The following is a 21998-nucleotide window of genomic DNA, read 5'->3' on the forward strand; positions in this document are numbered from 1 at the left end:
AGTGCAGTGGCCCGATCTCAGCTCACTGCAACCTCCGCCTCCCAGGTTCAAGCGATTCTCCTGCCTCGGCCTCCTGAGTAGCTGGGATTGCAGGCGTCCGCCACCAAGTAGGGCTAATTTTTGTATTTTTAGTAGAGACAAGGTTTCACCATTTTGGCCAGGCCAATCTCGAACTCCTGACCTCAAGTGATCCGTCCGCCTTGGTCTCCCAAAGTGCTGGGATTACAGGCGTGAGCCATGGCGCCCAGCCTTTAAATCTTTTAAAAACTAAAAATTAAAAAAGAGAAAGAGAAAAAATCAGCATGTTTCCCCGCGGGGGGCACCGTCTCCGTACCCCCGGGAGACGCGCAGGAAGGACATCCTGGAGTGAGGAGACTGGGGAGACCTGAAGGAGTGGAGGGCAGGGAGGGAGGGAGGCTGCGCGGACGGTGGCGCGAGCAGCTCACCGCGTGGTGCACAGGACGCCGGGCTGGGCCGGAGCCAGAGGCAGGAAGGTGGGCAGAGGCTGCAGCGGGCGAGTAGGAGCGCTCCTGATGGCTGCTCTCAGGAGAAACCAAGGCCGAGTGTGCAGAGTCGGGCAGGAAAACGCCTTGAGAGAGTGGCTGACGCAAGCCAGCAGAGGGTGTCAGGGACAGCGTGTGCGGGCTGCCATGCGCTCGGGTGCTGCGCAGGGTGGAGTCCTGGGGCTTGGCCCATGGAGTGGTGTCGCGCCCAGGGTTAAGGGGGTGCAGGCGGTGAGAGCAACGGAGCCCAGGCTGGTCCGGCCCTGCCAGGCTAAGCTCGGGGGCTCCCCCCCTGTCCCCCCAGTGCCTGCTGCGCTGGGCCCAGGCCGCCCGTGCCCTGCCAGGCCCTCCGGCCCCCCACCCTCCACCCCAGGGCCTGCTCCTCACCCCAGGGTTCCATCTCCCTAGTTTCCACCAGAGACTGGGTACGTGGGGGCGCTGGCAAGGCGAAGGAGGAGGCCTGTTTATCGTCACCATGGAGACGGTGGCGGGGTGGGTCACCAGGCTTGGTGGGCCCGGGGCGAGGCCGGGGAGAGGCTGCTTTGCCCCCAGCCCTCCCTTCTCCTACCCCCACCCCTTGTCCTGGGCCCGCCAGGCCCGTGAGCCCGCTTCAGGAGGAGCGCATACCCGGCTCCGACCTGCAGAACCGCCAGGGGATAGAGTGCGGTCTGTGATAATTAACACAGAAAATTAACACATCTTATTCTAGTTTATTTCTGTGCTCATGTAAATAGTGAATGATTTAGAATCCTACCACAGTGTGACAGTGTCCGCTTTCACACCCTCGGCTGGTTCTGACGCACTCCCGGCGTAGGAAGTTCTGGTGGGTGCCAGATGGTTCTGAGTTAACCTTTTCCAGTTGGTGGCACTTTGTCCCCGATCTCATTTCACCCTCAGGACAGTGCTGTGGAGGGGTCGCTAAGAGTCCGAATCAGCAGGTGGGCACTGGTAATAATACCAGTAATAAGAACCAACACAGGACAGCAGGTCTGTCCAGCTCCACCCTCTGCTACTTTTTTTTTTTTTTTTTTTTTTTTGAGACACGGTCTGGCTCTGTCCCCGAGGCTGGAGTGCAGTAGTGGGATCTCAGTTCACTGCAACCTCCACCTCCCAGGCTCAAGCGATCCTTCCGCCTCAGCCTTCTAAGTAGCTGGGACCACAGGCAGGCACCGCTGTCTAACTAATTTTTGTATTCTTTCTAGAGATAGGGTTCCGAGATATTGCCCAGTCTTAAACCCCGGACTCAAGCAATGCGCCCCTCTCGGCCTCCAAAGTACTGGGATTACAGGCGTGAGCCACCAAATCCGGCCTATTATGTCATTTTTACAGTTGCCATTTTCCCCCAAATGTATAGAAAACAATGTGCCTCATATTTCACAAATGTTGGTATCTTCCCAGCACCGTGAGCAGGGCACTGTTCACAGTGGGTCAGGCTGAGTTGGTCCCCGCAGCACTGATTCTGTTGACCCTAATGGCAGCAAGCAGAGGGCAGTTTATTGGTGTCTGGCCCTCTGTGTCCCTAATAGAAGCCCCTGCAAGCTGCACCCTTCCATTCCAAGGCTCTGGGCCTCTGGAGGTGGAGTTCTCTCAGCTGGCCCCGGGAGACAGCGCAGTGGCCAGAGCTCTGGCTCATCAGGTCAGGGAAAGAAAATCACCCTCAGAATCTCTCATCTCTGGCCAGCGTTCTTCCTGGTGACTGAGTCACAACTGTCCTGTTGTCCATGGGTGTGGTCATGGCATAGTGCCTATGGGTGGTTTTTCCTCTGGAGTCTCCCCAGGACTCTTGTGACCCAGAAGTGCACATCACACGCGTGCTGTGCACAGGCCCCTCGTCCTCAGTGGCACCCTGAGATCAGGCAATGGGCAGGCGTTTATAAATGTGCAGCTGCTCCAACCCGGCACCAGAATGGCTGTGGTGTGTGTGAGGCACTGCTCCTTCCAAGAGCTTTCAGATTTGGGGTGAGGTGTACAGAGGAAGCAGCCACCTGTCACAGAAGACAGAGTAGTAAAGTTAAGAGAAAAGTGTGTCCAGGCACAGTGGCTCATGCCTATAATCCCAGCACTTTGGGAGGCTAAGGCAGGAAAATCACCTGAAGCCAGGAATTCAAGACCAGCCTGGGCACCATAGTGAGACCCTGTCACTGCAAAAAAAAATTTTTTTTACCTTAGCCAGGCATGGTGGTGCATGCCTATTGTGCAGCAACTGGGCAGGCTGAAGCAGAAGGATCTCTTGAGCCCAGGAGTTTTAGGCTCCAGTGAGCTGTGATCACACCACTGCACTCCAGCCTGGGTGACAGAACAAAGACCCTGTCTCAAAAAAAATTACAGAAAGGTATAGACAAACAGCTGAGGAGTGTGAGATCCCAGCAGTCAGGAGGCTTTCCTGAGAAGGGAAAATTGGCCCTGGGCTCTGGAGAAGACATGGAACTTCTGATGTGGGATGGTGAAGGGTATGGGCACTGCCAAAATCCCCCCTGGACTCCCCCAGCATCCCCTCTGTCCCTGCCTCCTCGCTCCTCCTGCTTTGAAGCTGAGCTGGCATTTGCTTCTCTGTCTCATCACTCTCTTTTCTTTATTCAAGAAAAGCTGGCCGGGCACGGTGGCTCATGCCTGTAATCCCAGCACTTTGGGAGGCCGAGGCGGGCGGATCACAAGGTCAGGAGATCGAGACCATCCTGGCCAACATGGTGAAACCCTGTCTCTAATAAAATTACAAAAAAATTAGCCAGGCATGTGGCAGGCACCTGTAGTCCCAGCTATTCAGGAGGCTGAGGCAGGAGAATGGCGTGAACCCGGGAGGCGGAGCTTGCAATGAGCCGAGATCGTGCCACTGCACTCCAGCCTGGGTGACAGTCTCAAAAAAAAAAAAAAGAAAAAAAGAGTGTTGGCCAGGCGTGGTGGCTCACGCCTGTAATCCCAGCATTTTGGGAGGCTGAGGCAGGCAGATCACCTGAGGTCAGGAGTTCGAGACCAACCTAGCCAACATAGTGAAACCTTGTCTCTACTAAAAATACAAAAATTAGCCGGGCATGGTGGTGGGTGTCTGTAGTCCCAGCTACTCAGGGGGCTGAGGCAGGAGAATCACTTGAACCCAGGAAGCAGAGGTTATAGTGAGTGGAGATCACGCCATTGCACTCCAGCTTGGGTGATAAGAGTAAAACTGCATCTCAAAAAAAAAAAAAAGAGGAGTCTTAGGAGTAAATTTAACAAAATAATTGCAAAATGTGTACTCTTAAAAATACAAAACATTGTTGAAAGAAATTAAAGTGCTAAATAAATAAATAAGGTTGGGTGTGGTGGCTCACACCTATGGTTCCATCTACTCAAGAGGCTGAGGTGGGAGGATCACTTGAGCCTGGGAGGTTGAAGCTGCAGTAAGCCATGATCACACTACTGCACTCCAGCCTGAGTGACAGAATGAGACCTTGTCTCAAAATAAAAAAGTTAAATGCCGGGCACAGTGGCTCACTCCTGTAATCCTAGCACTTTGGGAAGTCGTAGGCAGGCAGATCACCTGAGATCAGGAGTTTGAGACCAGACTGGCTAACATGGTGAAACCCCATCTCTACTGAAAATACAAAAATTAGCCAGGCATGGTGGCAGTTGCCTGTAATCCCAGTTACTCAGGAAGCTGAGGCAGGAGAATTGCTTGAACCTGGGAGGCGGAGATTGCAGTGAGCCAAGAGTGCGCCATTGCACTCCAGCCTGGGTGACAGAGCAAGACTTTGGCTGGGTGCAGTGGCTCACGCCTGTAATCCCAGCATTTTGGGAGGCCGAGGCGGGTAGATCACCTGAGGTCAGGAGTTTGAGACCAGCCTGGCCAACATGATGAAACCTCGTCTCTACTAAAAATACAAAAAAAAATTAGCTGGGCATAGTGCCTGTAATCCCAGCTACTCAGGAGGCTGAAGCAGGAGAATTGCTTGAACCCAGGAGGTAGAGGTTGCAGTGAGCCGAGATCGCGCCATTGCACTCCAGCCTGGGCAACAAGAGCAGAACTCTGTCTCAAAATAATAATAATAAAATAAAAATAAAAAAGTTAAAAGTATGGTGTGTATATATATATACACACACACACTCATACAAACACACACACACACACACACATATATGTACATGTATAGTATCAGCCATGAGGTCCTGCCAGAAGATGACGGCTCCTAATGCCACTTCCCAACACAAGAGTTCAGTGCCCACATATGCAAGGCTGAGAGCCTCACAAAGAGCAGGGCAAGGTACACACATCAGTGATATAAAGCATATAGGATACAATATATTTATACAACATGGAGGGGATTTACATGCTATCTAAGCAAGAAAGGTATTACACATCTATCTTCCTACACGTAGAAATGTAGAGTAGTTTAGTAATCACCATGCATAAATACATAGAATGGATAACTATAGTGGTTACATAAATATTGAAAGAATGATGAAAAAATGTAGAATAGTGCTAAAATTAATTCTAAGTGGAGAAATGATATAGATATAGATATGCAAATATACACACATATGTCTCTCTGTAAATTGGTAAAGTTATACATTTGCATATATATATCGCAGTTGGATAAATATAATGTTTAAAGGGACATTATTTATAGAAATACTATAAAGTATGGGGCACAGTGGCCTGCACTGTAGTCCCAGACTTGGGAAGCCAACCTGGGAGGATCGCTTGAGCCTAGGAGTTTGAGACCAGCCTGGGCAACATAACAAGAACTTGTCTCAAGAAAAAAAAGAAAGGCCGGGCGCGGTGGCTCACGCTTGTAATCCCAGCACTTTGGGAGGCCGAGGTGGGTGGATCACGAGGTCAGGAGATCGAGACCACGGTGAAACCCCGTCTCTACTAAAAACACAAAAAAATTAGCCGGGCGTGGTGGCAGGCGCCTGTAGTCCCAGCTACTCGGAGAGGCTGAGGCAGGAGAATGGCGTGAACCCGGGAGGCGGAGCTTGCAGTGAGCCGAGACTGCGCCACTGTACTCCAGCCTGGGTGACAGAGCGAGACTCCATCTCAAAAAAAAAAAAAAAAGAAAAGAAAAAAAAGAAAAAGGTAAAAAATACCATATATTCACTTTTTTTTTTTTTTTTTGAGACAGAGTCTCACTCTGTCACCCAGGCTGGAGTGCAGTGGCATGATCTTGGCTCACTGCAACCTCCACCTCCCGAGTTCAAGCGATTCCCCTGCCTCAGTCTCCCAAGTAGCTGGGATTGCAGGTGCCCACCACCAAGCCCAGCTAATTTCTGTATTTTTAGTAGAGACGGGGTTTCACCATGTTGGCCAGGCTGGTCTCGAACTCTGGACCTCAGGTGATCCACCCGCCTCAGCCTCCCAAAGTGCTGGGATTACAGGCGTGAGCAACCGTACCTAGCCACACATTTCTTGATAGATAAGATACATAAAGTTATTCAATAAATGTATATCCAGATACTTAATGGTTAGGGAAGCTTAGTTAAGGCACCTGGACACCAGGAAAACATGCTTTTCCCACCAAAAGCTCCAGATGGTCCTGTCCGGTCCTGTCCAGTCCTGTATCAAGATGCCAGTGGGGAAACTGAGTGCCTGTTGAGGCAGGCACCCAGGAGGCAGCACAGCCAGTGAGGAGAAGGGAAGGGATATACAGGAATGTGAAGTTTATGGTATTCGAGGTGCACTGAGCACGCTGTGTACGAAGGGCTGGCCTAAGCCCTGCAGGGGCATTATTCATCTCATCTTCTCTACCCTGAGATGGATGATACCATCATCCCCAAGTTATAGTAGAGGAAACCAGGGCCCAACAAAGAAAAGCTGCCACACCAGCAACTTTATAAATCTTTACAATGATGTGAGAATTTGTGGGCTAGCCAGATTTTTAAAGAAAACTTCAAGTTTGAGCAAATTTGCAGACACTCAAAATCTACTCTCCCTAACCTGGAAGTGTCTCTGCAAAAATAAAAACAAATAAAAAGTAAAATGTCATGACAATTAGTGGACTAGTCCGGATTTTTAAAGAAAACTTCAGGCTTGAGCAAACTTGCAGACACCCAAAATCTACTTCCTGTATCCTGAGAGTCTGCACCAGGGAGAGCAGTGGGGAGGGTGGAACTGATGCCGAACTGTCCTAGACCGCCCCCTTCTGGCCAGAGGAGGTGGGCTCAGCTGTCTCCATGAACAAAAACCGCCCTCTCTTGGCTAGAGGCAGAGGCCAGTCCTCAATAAGGGCCCTGTGTGTGTGTGACAAGATGCACTAACCACTCGCTTCGTGCCTAGTGGGGCTGTGGCCAGGGTGGGGCGTTGCTGGCTTGGCCTGGAGAGGGGACACAAAGGGACACATCTGAAGCCACAGAAATTTCAGAAACAAGCAAATGCAGGGTCACTGGGAGACACCTGGACACTGCAAAGATGCAGAGATAAAGAAGGAAACAACAGTTCAGCAGAGGGAGAGAGAGAGATGGAGCAAGGACAGGGAGAGAGACACCCAGAGAGAGATAGAGAGACTCTCCCAGACAATACCAACCAAGCCAGAGAGATGCGGAAGGACTGAGATACACAGAAGCCGTCCCCGCCCCGGCCCTGCACCCCAAGACATGGTGGAAAATGAAGCATCTTCTCTGACCTGAGCTGAGACAGGCAGGGAGCCCCTAGCAGGAAGAGCTCTTCCCTTCCCCATCATGTGGTGTCTAGACAGTCTTCCCGCCCCAGCCCAACACCCGATTTCAGAAGCTCCCAGGAGCTCTGCATCCTAGTCCTCCGGGATTTGTTGGTACAAATGGGCTTGCTGTGGGTCTTTCCCCAGGATGGGCTAGGACTCTGTCTGTGGCAGCAGGCCCAGTTTCCCAGCTTCCTAAATTCCACTGCCATGTCTCTTTGCCTGTCTCATTCTCCTGGTGAGTATGCTTGCCTTTTCACACAAAAAATGGAGGTTTCCTCCCAACCAGCTCTGTCCCACTGAGGCTGATAAAGAACTGTGAACCTGGCTGGGCATGGTGGCTCACTCCTGTAATTCCAGCACTTTGGGAGGCCGAGGTGGGTGGATCACTTGAGATCAGGAGTTCGAGACCAGCCTGGCCAACATGGTGAAACCCCGTTTCTACTAAAAATACAAAAAATAGCCGGGCGTGGTGGCTCACACCTGTAGTCCCAGCTACTCGGGAGGCTGAGGCAGGAGAATCGCTTGAAACCGGGAGGCAGAGGTTGCAGTGAGCTGAGATGGCGCCACTGCACTCCAGCCTGGGTGACAGAGCGAGACTGTCTCAAACAAAAACAAAAACAAAAACAAAAAACTGTGAACTTTGCTGGGCATGATGGCTCACACCCCTAATCCCAACACTGAGAGGCTGAGATAGGGGGATCACTTGAGGCCAAAAGTTTGAGGCCAGGTTGGGCAACAAAGTGAGACCCTGTCTCTGTAAAAATACAAATTAAAGAACTGTGACTTGGAGATGCCAGTGACTCTTCCTGGGCTTTGATGAAGACCCCTTCCTGGCTGAGGAACAGAACCTGTCCCAACCTGCCTGGACCAGCCCTGGGGCCTCATCTGGCCCCCACCCAGTGGCCAAGGCTTTATTATCAGAACCAGGACTGCCTCCTCATGAGTGCAGCCTCCTGAAGATGGCTGGGAAGTCCATCAGTTGAAGGCCTGGGGAAGGAGGAGATGTGAACTCCTCCTCAGTCAGGAGATGACATTTACCTGCAATCTTCCTCTTATCTTCCCCCACCCGTAGGCCACATTCAGCATTCTTCAACAAACACTCTGTTGCCTGTGCCCAGAGACCCAGATGCTGGAACCTGACCGCCCGGATCTAATTCTAGTCCCACCACTTACCAGCTGGCTGACTTGGCAGGCAACTTCACCTGTTGTGCTTCCGTTTTCCATAGATAAGATGGAATCTGGCTAACATCAACGTCACTGAGCAGGCTGGGTGCAGCAACTCACGCCTGTAATTCCAGCACTTTGGGAGGCTGAGGAGGTGGGAGGATCACTTGAGCCAAGGAATTTGAGTCCAGCCTGGGTAACATAGCAAGACACCCCCCAATAAAGAATCGAGCCTGCCCAGCCTATGGGTGCTGATTGCTCCAAACAATCCCTGCATTCCCCCATAAAGTCCAGGCTGCCCGAACCATGGCCAGTAATACTGGAGAACAACCCCTCCAACCGAGCTGCCCAAACTGGCTGCCAATCCGCAAGAACGGCCCCTTATCCAGCCTGCACCCCCACCCTCTCCATGGCTGCTAATCCTGGAAACAATCCCTCTATTCCCACTTCAGAAGCTGGCTGCGCCTCCCCCATGAGACACCTCTGCGCCCTCCCCGAATGAGCCGCACGTCTGCTTCTCCAAACGGCCGCTGTGCCCGGTGCTCAGCGCATCTCAACTCGCGGCAGGCCGCCCCGCGAGCCGCCTCTCCCTTTCCTGCGGCTCGAAGGGACCCCAGCGTGAACCGTGTGCTTGTTTTTCATTGTCTCCATCTCGGGGCTTCCTTGTAGAGTTTGGAGCTCCGCGTGAACAGCGCTCTACGCGCTAGTTCCATCGGCTCCTCGGTGCCCGCACGCAGCCGCGCGTGCCAGTCAGTGCCTGGGTCACCGCGAATTCCATCCCAACCCGCTCCGGCACCGCGACGGTCTCTCCTGTCACTGGAGACGTTTCTTGTGTCAGTGCAAATATATGTCGTTCCTTGTTTTTTTCTATTAAAGACAGTGCTTGGTGGGAACATTTCTGCACTACTGGAGTTTCTGAAGCTTCAACCCCACGCACCAGGCCCACCCACACCCGGGCCCCCGTTCCCCCGCCCGACCCACCCACAACCAGCCACCTAGCTCAGATCCCGGCCCATGATCTGCACCCCACGCCCGCCCCACACTCAAAACCGCTCCCCAAGGCCGCCTAAGCCCGCACCCCATGGCCTGAGTCTCCTCCCACACCCGGCTTTCCCCGTGCCCAGCAACTTCTGCAATGCCCGATCCCCCAGTATCCTGGCCCCCTGCATTCCAGACCCCCACACCCTCTAGCCATCGTCCCCCACGTCCCGGCCCCACCCCATGTCTGACTCTCCCACGCCCAGGGCCTCCCTCACAGCTTTCCCTGTCACACTTTGGTCACCTTCCCACACCCAGACCCCTGCCCAGCGCTGGGCCCACCCTAGTTCCAGGCCCCCTCCACACCCCCCAAACCTCCCCTACCCACACACACCCAGGGGCTCTGCCAAGGCTCTTGGGGGTTTGGTGGCAGCAATGTAGTTAATGAGCATCCTCAATTCAAAGAATGTTCAAGACTGCACTGCACTGGAGAACGTGAGAGCCCTGAAATCTTGCTGCTCCTATGTGAAAAACACTTGAAAGAGGTTTTCCCAAATTTGACAATATCCAAAACTTTCACATTAGCAATGGGGAGCATATATTCAGGGCAACTGGTATGGGGGGAAATGTTAGCAATAATAAGTGGTGAACTGGAATGCACATTTTCTAAGCTATTAGTAAAAAAAATTTAAGAGAGGGAGTCGGCTGGGCATGGTGGCTCATGCCTGAAATCACAGCACTTTGGGAGGCCGAGGCGGGTGGATCACCTGAGGTCTGGAGTTCCAGACCAGCCTGGCCAACATAGTGAAACCCTGTCTCTACTAAAAATACAAAAAAAAAAAAAAAAAAAATCAGCTGGGTGTGGTGGCGGGCGCTTGTAATCCCAGCTACTCGGGAGGCTGAGGTAGGAGAACTGCTTGAACCCAGGAGGCGGAGGCTGCAGTGAGCCGAGATTGCGCCATTGCACTCTACCCTGGGCAACAAAAGTGAAACTCCACTTCAAAAAAAAAAAAGAGAGGGGGTCAATCACACCAGAAGACCCGTTTATCCTTCATTCTTTCTCAAAGAAATTGTTATAATATTCTAAATCATTATCATATGAAGCAGTGATCATGATTATGCAGTTACTGGTAGCAGCAAAATGTAATTATGAGGGAATTAATTTTAAAATTTATCTTTTGGAATTTTGTTATGCTATGCTTTTGAAAATTTGCAGTTGTTTTGCTTTTGTCATTCTAAAATCATTCTTTTATCATTATAAATAAATACAAACTTTGAGACAAACTGATTATATTCAGAATTCTGTGCTCTTTTCTTTTTTCTTTAGAGATAGAGTCTCACTCTGTAGCCCAGGCTGTAGTGCAGTGGCGCCATCTCGGCTCGCTGCAACCTCTGCCTCCTGGGTTCAAGTGATTCTTGTGCCTCAGCCTCCTGCTTACAGGTGTGCGCCACCATGTCCGGTTAATTTTTTTTTTATTTTTTCGAGATGGAGTCTCTGTCCATCTTTTGAGCCGAGATTGCAGTGGTGCAATCTCAGCTCACTGCAACCTCTGCCTCCCGGGTTCAAGCAGTTCTCCTGCCTCAGCCTCCTGAGTAACTGGGATTACAGCTGCGTGCTGCCCGGTTAATTTTTGTATTTTTAGTACAGACGGGGTTTCACCATGTTGGCCAGGCTGGTCTTGAACTCCTGACCTCAGGTGATCCGCCCGCCTATGGCCTCCCAAAGTGCTGGGATTACAGGTGTGAGCTACTGTGCCCGCCCGGCCTAATCTTGTGTTCTTTTCTTAGAGATAACTCTACCTATGGTGCCAACTTCAGCTCCCACTTTCAGATCTGCCCTCCTCCTCTAGGGGCAGGTGTGTCCGGTCCTGGGGCATCCCTGCTGAGCACCACGTGTGCACAACTTCAGCTTTCAGAGACAATGTTGATTGTTTTCTAAGGCAGGTGTGCCAATTTAGGACTGGAAATGAGTCCCATGCACCCCCAGTCTGCCCAAACCCAGGAACCTAGAGGGGTCCTAATCACCTGTGTCAGTGAAAAGGTGGAAAATAGCAAACTCTACCCATCCCTCAGAGCAAAATGGTTTCTCCAATTCCTCTGTGGTGCAGGCTATAAATTCAGACCCTCAGTGTGGAAAATCCCAATGTTGATCATTAGAAGTTAATATATTAAAATATTTTACCAGTTTATTAAGAACTTAGAGGCAAATAATAGCTCTCAAGAATTTATACATCAAACCACAAGACATTTTAATTTTACATTATAGAAAAAACCTGGTGCTCTATTTTTAAAAACATGATTGGATTTTTTTCCCCATTGTTTACTAAATTTCGACTTCTTCAATAGTTCTTTCTGGTTTGGTAAACATTGCTCTGAGTCACTTCTCCTTCTCTTTTGTAGTCTGATCATAGGAGAGCACACTACCAGCTCCCTTTGTTTACTGGGGAGGCCAAATAACAAATGGTTGGTATTTTATATTAGCTACTGCTGTGGAGACAACAAATACATGTGGAGCTCTGATTGCATTTGAATCTAGGTTTCAGGTGGCCACAAATTCAATAATTTCTTTAACTTATTTAACAGACAAGCCTCTACAAACTACTGACATTCATGGTCACATTCTATGCCAACAAACACAGAACCAAGACCTTTCCAAATCGTAGTGTCGTGGGATTCTTTCAACTTTAACATTCAGTGCCAGTAAAAACATTCTTTTATTCTACTCCTACCAAGTAAATAAGTGATTCCCCTTATCAGATGCTTAATCTCATCATAACTAACTTATTTTTATAAAGATTTAGATAAAGGAGTTCAGTGGAGAGACATTTATTGGAATGAACCACTGGTTTGAGATAAGAAACCCTTTTCATAAATTATGCCTTAATCTAAAATCTGGGTAAGTATTTTACTTCATTGGCTCAGTTTAACTGGAGGAAATAGCAAAGAGAAATTTATGACTATGGCTTATAAATATTTAAAACCTGTTTCTTCAGAAACAGTGATCAAGGATTACTGAGAAAAAAAAAAAGAAAACCTGTTTCTCTCACTGACTGACTCTGACCTCTGAGAAAGCTGTCTCTCTGCCCCAGCACTCTGCCTCACAGCCTGCTTTATGAATCTTCACTACACCCGTCAGTCAACACTGGGAAGATAACACATCTATTTCTTCCTCCCACTCTAAGCCCACTGTGATATCATCCATTGGAGGCAGGAGCTCTGCGCTGTCCCTTTGCAGCCCCTGGAACTGCAGTGAGCTGTGTGTATTGAGTCAATCCATAAATACCAAGTAATTATATAAATAAAAATTATAGGAGACCCTTGTTTTGGACTAAGCTCCTGCTAGGATCAGCTTAGTCCTAAACAAGGGTCTCCTGGGTGGATCACCTGAGTTCGAGACCAGCCTGACCAACATGGAGAAACCGTTTCTACTAAAAATACAAAAAGAATTAGCCAGGCGTGGTGGCACATGCCTGTAATCCCAGCTACTCAGGAGGCTGAGGCAGGAGAATCGCTTGAACCCGGGAGGCAGAGGTTGCACTCCAGCCTGGGCAACAAAAGCAAAACTTGAAACTCTGCCTCAAAAAAAAAAAAAGAAAAAGAAAAAGAAACAAACAAAAAAAAAACACAGGGGTCTCCTATAATTTTTATCTAACATAACTTTCAAAGCATTTTCATTCTAATACAATTACTCCAAAACAGAGTCACCTCTGGCCTTCCATCAGGAGAGAGATAACAGTCCAACTTCCCAAACAGGCCAGCTTCAGTGGCATGATAATGAAGTTCCCTCTGCCTTTAATCCTTACAACAAAAAGGGACCCGAGGTTAGTCAATCAGTTCTTTTTTCTATTGTTCTGTCTCATTCTTGCCTTAGGAGGAAAGCAACCTTAAAACGACCAATTCACTTTTTCTTTTTTGTTTCTGCTTTCTTTAGCCATTTTGGTCTATAAAACCAACCTCCTCTGCTCAGTTCCCTGGAACATTTATTCCATTTTATGAAAGGAAGTGTTGCCTTATTTGAGAATCACAAAGCCAACTAAGAATTTTTAAATGGGCCAGGCACAGTGGCTCACTCCTGTAATCCCAGCACTTTGGGAGACCAAGGCGGGTGGATCACCTGAGGTCGGGAGTTCAAGGCCAGCCTGACAAATATGGAGAAATCCCGTCTTTACTAAAAATACAAAATTAGCCAGGCGTGGTGGCACATGCCTGTCATCCCAGCTACTCAGGAGGCTGAGGCAGGAGAATAGCTTAAACCCAGGAGGCGGAGGTTGCAGTGAGCCGAGATCACATCACTGCACTCCAGCCTCAGCAACAAGAGCGAAACTCCTTCTCAAAAAAAAAAAAAAAAAAAAAAAAAGGAGCCAGGCACAGTGGCTGATGCCTGTAATCCCAGCACTTTGGGAGGCTGAGGCAGGTGGCCCAGTCTCCACTAAAAATACCAAAATTAACCGGGCATAGTCACACACAAACCCTGTTGGCTAGGCTGGTCTTGCACTCCTGACCTCAAGTAATCTGGGCCAACACTGTAACTGCCCAAGGGGTTCACCTTGCCCACTGCGTAGACAGAGCCAATTCATCAAGACAAGGAACTGCAATAGAGAAAAAGTAATTCATGCAAAGCCAGCTGTGTGGGTGGCTGGAGTTTTATCATTACTCAAATCAGTCTCCCTGAGCATTCGGGGATCAGAGTTTTTAAGGATAACTTGGTGGGTAGAGGGGGAGCCAGTGAGCCAGGAGTGCTGATTGGTCAGAGATGAAATCATAGGGAGTAGAAGCTGTCTTCTAGCACTGAGTCAGTTCCTGGGTGTGGAACACAATGTCAGACAAGCCAGTTTATTGATCTGGGTGGTGCCAGCTGATCCACAAGTGCAGGTCTGTAAAATATCTCAAGCACTGATCTTAGCAGCAGTTTAGGGAGGGTCAGAATCTTGTAGCCTCCAGCTGCATGACTCCTAAACCATTATTTCTAATTCTGTGGCTAATGTTAGCCTAGTCCCCAGGCAAGAAGGAAGTCTGCTTTGAGAAAGGGCTGTTACCATCTTTGTTTAAACTATAAACGGCAAGCAATCCTGGCGAGGTGGCTCACCTCCCAGCACTTTAGGGGGCAGGTGGATTACCTGAGGTCATGAGTTTGAGACCAGCCTGACCAACATGGTGAAACCCCCGTCTCTACTAAAAATACAAAAAAATTAGCTGGGTGTGGTGGTGGGCGCCTGTAATCCCATCTACTCCGGAAGTTAAGGCAGGAGAATCCCTTGAGCCCAGGAGGCAGAGGTTGTGGTGAGCTGAGATCTCACCTAGGTCCTGCCACTGAACTCCAGCCTGGGCAAAAGAACGAAACTTCATCTCAATAAATAAATAAATAAACAAACAAACTACAAACTAAGTTTTTCCCAAAGTTAGTTCAGCCCACATCCAGGAATGAACAAAGGCAGCTTGGCAGTTAGAAGCAAGAAGTAGTCGGTTAAGTTAGATCTCTTTCACTGTCTCAGTCATAATTTTGCCTAGGCAGTTTCAACATGGTGAAACCCCATCTCTACTAAAAATGCAAAAATTAGGCTGGGCACAGTGGCTTACACCTGTAATCCCAGCACTTTGGGAGGCCGAGGACCAAAGTGGATCACCTGAGGTCAGGAGTTCAAGACCAGCCTGGCCAACATGGTGAGACCCCCTCTCTACTAAAAATACAAATTAGCCTGGCATGATGGCAGGCGCCAGTAATCCCAGCTACTCGGGAGGCTGAGGTGGGAGAACTGATTGAACCCAGGAGGTGGAGGTTGCAGTGAGTCGAGATCGCACCATTGCACTCCAGCCTGGGCGACTAAGCAAAACTCCATCTCAAAAAAAAATTAGCTGGCTGGGTGCGGTGGCTCATGCCTGTAATCCCAGCACTCTGGGAGGCTGAGGCGGGCGGATCACGAGATCAGGACATCAAGACCATCCAGGCTAACACAGTGAAACCCAACACAAAAACAAAATCAGCCGGGCGTGGTGGTAGGTGCCTGTAGTCCCAGCTACTCAGGAGGCTGAGGCAGGAGAATGGCGTGAACCTGGGAGGCGGAGGTTGCAGTGAGCCGAGATTGTGCCACTGCACTCCAGCCTGGGCGACAGAGCGAGACTCCGTCTCAAAAAAAAAAAAAAAAAAAAAAATTAGCTGGGCGTGGTGGTACATACCTGTAGTCCCAGCTACTCAGGAGACTAAGGTGGGAGGATGAGTTCCAAAGGCAGAAGTTGCAGTGAGCTGAGACTGCACCACTGTACTCCAGCCTGGGTGACAGAGTGAGATTCTGTATTAAAAAAAGAAAATGGGGCCAGGTGCGGTGGCTCATGCCTGTAATTCCAGCATTTTGGGAGGCCGAGGCAGGAGATCCACCTGAGGTCAGGAGTTCGAGACCAGCCTGACCAACATGGAGAAACCCCATCTCTACTAAAAATACACAATTAGCCGGGCATGGTGGCTCACGCCTGTAATCTCAGCACTTTGGGAGGCCGAGACGGGTGGATCACGAGGTCAGGAGATCGAGACCATGGTGAAACCCCGTCTCTCCTAAAAATACAAAAACTTAGCCGGGCACAGTGGCGGGCGCCTGTAGTCCCAGCTACTCGGGAGGCTGAGGCAGGAGAATCGCTTGAACCGGGAGGCGGAGGTTGTGGTTGCGGTGAGCCGAGATAACGCCCTTGCACTCCAGCCTGGGCAACTGAGCAAAACTCCGTCTCAAAAAAGAAAAAAAGAAAGAAAATGGGCCCACCGCAGTGGTTCATGCCTGTAATCCCAGCACTTTGGGAGGCTAAGGCTGGCCGAGCACTTGAGGTCAGGAGTTCAAGACCAGCAGCCTGGCCAACACAGTGAAACCCCATCTCTACTAAAAATACAAAAATTAGCCAGGCGTGGTGGTGGACTCCTGTAATTCCAAGATAAGGGAGGCTGAGGCAGGATAATCACTTGAACCTAGGAAGAAGAGTTTACACTGAACTGAGATCGTGCCACTGTACTCCAGCCTGGGCAACACAGCAAGACTCTGTTTCAAAAAAAAAAAAATAATGCTTGGGACCAGAGATATTTCTGATTGTGGAATTTTTTGGATTTTGGAATATTTGCATATACATAATGAGATATCTTGGGAATGGGACCCACGTCTAAATAATTTATGTTTCATATATACCTTATACACATAGCCTGAAGATGATTTTATATATTTCTTTTTTTTTTTTTTTTTTTTTGAGACGGAGACTCCTTCTGTCGCCCAGGAGGAGTGCAGTGGCGCAATCTCGGCTTACTGCAAGCTCCACCTCCCGGGTTCACGCTGATCTCCTGCTTCAGCCTCCCGAGTAGCTGGGACTACAGGGGCCCACCACCATGCCCGGCTAATTTTGTTTTTGCATTTTTAGTAGAGACGGGGTTTCACCGTGTTAGCTAGGATGGTCTCGATTTCCTGACCTCGTGATCTGCCCTCCTCGGCCTCCCAAAGTGCTGGGATTATAGGTGTGAGCCACCGCATCCAGCAGATCTTATATATTTCAAATAATTTTGTGTATGAAACAAAGTTTTGACTTTTCAATATGGCCTGTCACATGAGGCCAGGTGTGGAATTTTCTACCTGTGGCGTCATGCTGGTGCTCAAAAAGTTTTGGATTTTGGAGCATTTTTGGATTTCAGATTTTTTTTTTTTTTTTTTTTTTGAGACAGGGTTTCACTCTGTTACCTAGGCTGGAGTGCAGTGGCACAATTACAGCTCAATGAAGCCTGATCTGCTGGGTTCAAGGGATCCTCTCACCTCAGCCTTTCGACTAGCTGGGACCACAGGTGTGCACCAACACACCTGGCTAATTTTTATATTTTTTGTAGGGATGGGGTTTCACCATGTTGCCCAGGCTGGTCTCAAACTCCTGAGCTGAAGGGATCCACCCACCTTGACCTCCCAAAGTGCTGGGATTACAGGTGTGAGCCACTACACCCAGACAAATTTTGGATTTTTGGATTAGGTATGCTCAACCTGTATGTTGAAAACAAGGTGCCAGGGAACAGGCTCTCAGTGACTGCAGGCATCAGGTGATGTGCCAGGGAGACACAGAAAGGAAGAGGAGTGTTTCAACATGTGGCCAGTAAAAGACTTCCAAGAATGGCCGGGTGCGGTGGCTCACGCCTGTAATCCCAGCACTTTGGGAGGCCCAGATGGGCACATTGGCTGAAGTCAGGAGTTTGAGACCAGTCTGGCCAACATCGTGAAACCCCATCTCTACAAAAAATACAAAAAAATTAGCCGGACATGGTGATGTTCGGCTATTCAGGAGGCTGAAGCAAGGCAGGGGAATTGCTTGAGCCAGGGAGGTGGAGGTTGTAGTCAGCCGAGATCGCACCACTGTACTCCAGCCTGGGCGACAGAGCAAGACTCAGTCTCAAAAATAGAAGACTTCCAAGAATAAAAATATATTACTTAGGTTAAGTTCGGTGGGTGACAGAGGAAGGAAATAGACTCAACTCAGGCCAAAAAAAAAAAAAAGGAGGCGGCAATATGGAGTAACTAATATTAAACAAGAGTTAAGTAAATCTTCAAATGGAGATTTGGAATAAAAATAGTATGGTGCAACAAGAGCGAAACTCCATCTCAAAAAAAAATGGTATGTATGGTGTTCAGATTCCACTAGATATATTACAACTCATGTAGCCATTTTACTTTAAAATATAAATATTAAAACATACCAGAAATTGTATCTTTTGCAACTATTTGAGCTTATGATGAGAAACTTTAGCAACATAAAACTGTGGAATGGATATGTGGTTTTTCAGAAATGAGAGCAAACATTCAAAGACTACTCTATTACATAAATACGGGAATAGAAGAGTGGCCCAGAAACGAAATAGCAGGAGCTTCTAGGGTTCAGCAAGAGAGGGCTGAGGGAGACTGCCCAAGAAGGGATTGAAGCGGGGCCTAGAATGCCAAAGCTTGTACTGCACTTTACGTGTGTCACAGGAGGACAGAAAGGGGTGAGTCACAGAGCTGTTTAGGAGGCAGAATGGACAAGAATTGTTTGATTGGTTATGGGGATTTGGAGGCAAATAAAGTCTAGGATGATGCTCAGGCCTTCGGCTTTACCACTTGGATGGAGCACAGAGAGTAGGCGGGGTGGTTTAAAGAAGAAACCAAGTATTTATTTCAGGAAATGTCAAGTTTCAGCAAACTATGAGACATGCATGTGGAGACAGGAGGCAGGCAGTGGGCCTGGTGGTCTCCAGCTAAGGAGAGAGGTCAGAGAGGTGAGTTTCCAGGAGGGAGCAGCCAAATCTCAGAGCCTGCTGAGGGGGTTAAGACCTAATTATCCATCCAAAAGTGTATCCATCCACCCAAATATTACTCAGTTATTTTATTTATTTTTGAGACAGAGTCTCGCTCTGTCGCCAGGCTGGAGTGCAGTGGCGCGATCTCAGCTAACTGCAACCTCCGCCTCCCGGGTTCAAGCAGTTCTCCTGCCTCAGCCTCCCGAGGAGCTGGGATTACAGGTGCGCCACCACGCCCAGCTAGTTTTTGTATTTTTAGTAGAGACGGGGTTTCACCATGTTGGCCAGGATGGTCTCGGTCTCTTGACCTCATGATCCACCAGCCTCAGCCTCCCAAAGTGCTGGGATTACAGGCGTGAGCCACCGCGCCCGGCCAATTTATTTATTTTTATTGAGACGGGGTCTTGTCATTTTGCCCAGGCTGGTCTCGAAGTCCTGGGTTCAAGGGATCCACCTGCCTAGGCCTCCCAGTGCTGGGATTACAGGCGTGAGCCATGGCGCCCTTTCTACTCAAGTGATTTATCAATCATTTTACTCAATAGTTAATTCACACATCCATCCAGTTCCCACAATGAATTCCATCCATGTGCCAAGGTCTCTGGGACAGGAAGCTGAGTGACCTGAAATCACAGCCCTGGGAGAAAAGGGAGGTGAGTGGTCAAGACAGATACACCCATACCTGTGATGTGGGGTTTGGGAAAGGTGGGCCTCCCAGAGGGGAGGCAGGTGAACAGGAAAGGTGGCTTCCCAGGTGAGGCAATTGTTGAATTGGACAGAGTGGAAATGGCTCACAGTGGTCCTTGGGAGAGGATGAGAATTAGGATGGAGAGAAAAGATTGAATACGTGAGATATGGAAGAACTAGAAGGATGGGCTCTCACTGGGGGGGCGGGGGGGACAGGGAACCGAGTTGCCTAACTTCCCTTTGGTGGAGTCAGACTGTATGCTGAGCGCTGTGACTTTGGACCACTGTCCATGTCCTTGAGGGGGTCATATCCTGAGGAGCTGGCACACATTTCAGCAGATATCTCCATATGACTGGGTTTAGTGGTGGCCTGTGGGACCACGTGGGAAAGAGACCCACCTGAGATGGGAAATTCTGAAAGGTCAGAGATGGTGGGGGAACGGAAAAGTTTAACAGTTGTTGACTGTGAAGTGCCTGCAGGAAATGAAAGGGAGGTGCCCAAGAGCTAAGAAGTCTGGTATAGGAGAAGCATGAGTAGGAGCTGCAACAGGGGGCTAAGAGGTGACCTGTGCAGTAGAAGGAAAGCACTCGCGTTCTCCCAGGTGCGGAACGAGCAAACGTTGATGACAAATGACTTTGCCTACCATCTTGAACCCTTTCGGCTTCTCTTCTTGCACAGGTCTTCATTCTCACCCTGCTACACAGCCCCTACCAGAACGTTCTGAAATGCAAACCTAACAACTGTCTCACCCCAGCAGGAAACTCCCCAGGGTCCCGGGCCCCCTGCGGGGTTGCAGGCCTCACTCTTCGCGCCCATCCCTCCGCCCTGACCGCCCTGAGCTCGCCCCCAGTGCTGGCCCTTCACGTCCAGTTATCCCTCCCAGCCTCCAAGGTCCCCGTTACCGAAGACCGCCACCATCACGACATAGCGCAGCACATATGGGTAAACAAATGGACTGAGACTCAAGCAAAGAAGTAACCCGAGACGCGCGTTACACGGAAAACGACTGCGCAAGCGCGGTAGAGCAGGGGCTTGCAGGTGAGTGGGAGCAGCCAATCCACGCGAAGGGGGTCGGGACCACTTCCGCGGAGGAAAGCCCCGCCCACACCTCCTGGGCCCTCGCCTCACTGGCGGTTTCTCCCGCGAGCCAGCCTCATAGACATTCCTTGGTGCTGATTGGCTGGCGGCCAGCGCAGTCCTCCTTCCTCTGGCTCTCTCGCGGCCCCTTGCGGGAAGGCCTCCCAGAGGCCGTGGGGTCGTTTCTGGCGGCCTAAGTGGGCCTAACTTTTAGAGTCCCGAGGGTCGTCGCTGCCGGGGAGATCTCCGCCCCATTTCCGTGCCGCCTTGTCCTCAGGGCCCAAAGCCCCCTGCGCTAAGGGCCCTGTCCCATCTCTGCCCTACACGCGGGAGTCAGCCTAAGGCGGAGCCCTAGGACAGCAGCCGCGCCTGACGCTGCTCGCCTGCCTAGCACAGGCAGGGGGTGAGCGGAGTCGGCTGCCTCCCTCCCCAGGGCCCTCCAAGGGAGTGGGCTCCACATCCATGGGCCCGAGGAATCTGCGGAGAGACGGGAAGAGCAGGGGACACTCACAGGGCGGGGGTCCAGGCGGGAGTCCAGTAGTCCTCGTGGAGACAGCTGGGAAAGGCCTCGGGGCAAGGGACCTCGGATTTCCTCCTCTGCCTCAAAACAGACAGTCTAAGCTGGGTGCGGTAGCTTGCGCCTGTAATCCCAGCACTTTGGGAGGACGAGTTGGGTGGACCACCAAGTCAAGAGATGGAGAACCATCCTGGCCAACATGGTGAAACCCCATCTCTACTAAAAATTAGCCGGGCGTGGTGGCGCGCGCCTGTAGCCCCTGCTACTTGGGAGGCTGAGGCAGGAGAATCGCTTGAACCTGGGAGGCAGAAGTTGCAGTGAGCCGAGATTGCGCCTCTGCACTCCAGCCTGACAACAACAGAGCAAGACTCCGTCTCAAAAAAAAAAAAAAAAAAAATGACCACGCACAGGCAGCAAGGGGCAGGGGGTGGTCCACGCTCAGCCTTCAGTACACATTTGTGGAATTAATCCCTCCCAGGACAGGTTGTGAAGAAAGCTTGTTAACCTCAAGATTCAGAAGCACCGTTCACAGCACAAGCTTTGGAGTCAAATTCAGGCTGTTAACTTGCTGCGTGCGCCCCCGACTTACCTCTTTCTGCCTGTTTGCTCATCCGTAAAATGGGAACTGTGACTGAGTCTACTTTGAATCTGATTATGCTGCATGAACTCAGAAGACAGGGCTCAGTTGAGTGACTGCTCAGTTTACAAGAGCTGTTACTGTAGTTGGGAAGCGCCCTGAGACATACATGGTAAGATTGGTAACCTAGGATAAAGGGGGCCACCATGAGAGAGACCCCAGAGGGAAACTGTTCCAGAGAAGAGAAATGTCTTGCTAAGGTCACACTGCCCTGGTAGCGAGCACAGGGCAGCCTGCTCCGCCCAAGTTTCCAGCCTTCTCAGCTGAGTTCTGGCCCATCAGGCTAAGCCGGAGACTAAGCCTCAAGAAAGCAGGCATTCGTAGGAAAGGGGTCCTGTAAGTCCCAAAAGCCACCTTTGCTTTGGAAGGTCTCCAAAAGGAACCTCAGATGCACTTCTCCAGAAGGCCCTAGCATTTTTGCCTGCCCCCATCCCCACCCCGCAACAACTTCTGCCCTCTTCAGGGATCCACCATTCCTATTCCTATTGCTGTGAGGTATTATAACCTTTAACAGGTGGAAAGAAAACTTCA

At 50.1% G+C, this 21998-nt stretch overlaps 2 long non-coding RNA genes across 3 annotated transcripts in view, besides 4 other annotated features; one reads left to right on the top strand and one right to left on the bottom strand.

The window, feature by feature from the left end:
- LOC105378271 (uncharacterized) overlaps positions 1-8278 on the top strand; it is a 31909-nt gene extending 23631 nt beyond the window's left edge. The window contains exon 3 of the long non-coding RNA XR_945902.3: positions 8205-8278. This is a non-coding gene — a long non-coding RNA (uncharacterized LOC105378271). The remainder of the gene's footprint in view (positions 1-8204) is intronic.
- LOC107984226 (uncharacterized) lies at positions 1194-9190 on the bottom strand. 2 transcript variants are annotated; one of them, XR_001747439.2, is made up of 3 exons: positions 8306-9190; positions 2668-2789; positions 1194-1448 (listed from the first exon to the last, which is right to left on the bottom strand). It is a non-coding gene; the product is annotated as an uncharacterized LOC107984226 (long non-coding RNA). The 2 variants fall into 2 exon arrangements; XR_007062129.1 differs by lacking the exon at positions 2668-2789 and having other exon boundaries at positions 1194-2488; positions 8306-9150.
- Positions 6524-6683: a silencer, noted in NCBI's record as "silent region_2325". NCBI's record gives its function as "represses an Ori minimal core promoter by ATAC-STARR-seq in GM12878 lymphoblastoid cells {active_cell/tissue: GM12878}" and the evidence as "EXISTENCE:reporter gene assay evidence [ECO:0000049][PMID:35858748]".
- Positions 13515-14222: an enhancer, noted in NCBI's record as "H3K27ac-H3K4me1 hESC enhancer chr10:43850991-43851698 (GRCh37/hg19 assembly coordinates)". NCBI's record gives its function as "activates a minimal SCP1, AML or CMV promoter by ChIP-STARR-seq in primed H9 embryonic stem cells {active_cell/tissue: H9 hESC(primed)}" and the evidence as "EXISTENCE:reporter gene assay evidence [ECO:0000049][PMID:30033119]".
- Positions 19562-20474: an enhancer, noted in NCBI's record as "H3K27ac-H3K4me1 hESC enhancer chr10:43857038-43857950 (GRCh37/hg19 assembly coordinates)". NCBI's record gives its function as "activates a minimal SCP1, AML or CMV promoter by ChIP-STARR-seq in naive H9 embryonic stem cells {active_cell/tissue: H9 hESC(naive)}" and the evidence as "EXISTENCE:reporter gene assay evidence [ECO:0000049][PMID:30033119]".
- Positions 20072-20161: an enhancer, noted in NCBI's record as "active region_3289". NCBI's record gives its function as "activates an Ori minimal core promoter by ATAC-STARR-seq in GM12878 lymphoblastoid cells {active_cell/tissue: GM12878}" and the evidence as "EXISTENCE:reporter gene assay evidence [ECO:0000049][PMID:35858748]".

The sequence above is a fragment of the Homo sapiens genome, chromosome 10 (assembly GCF_000001405.40).
Source record: "Homo sapiens chromosome 10, GRCh38.p14 Primary Assembly".
NCBI lineage: Eukaryota > Metazoa > Chordata > Mammalia > Primates > Hominidae > Homo > Homo sapiens.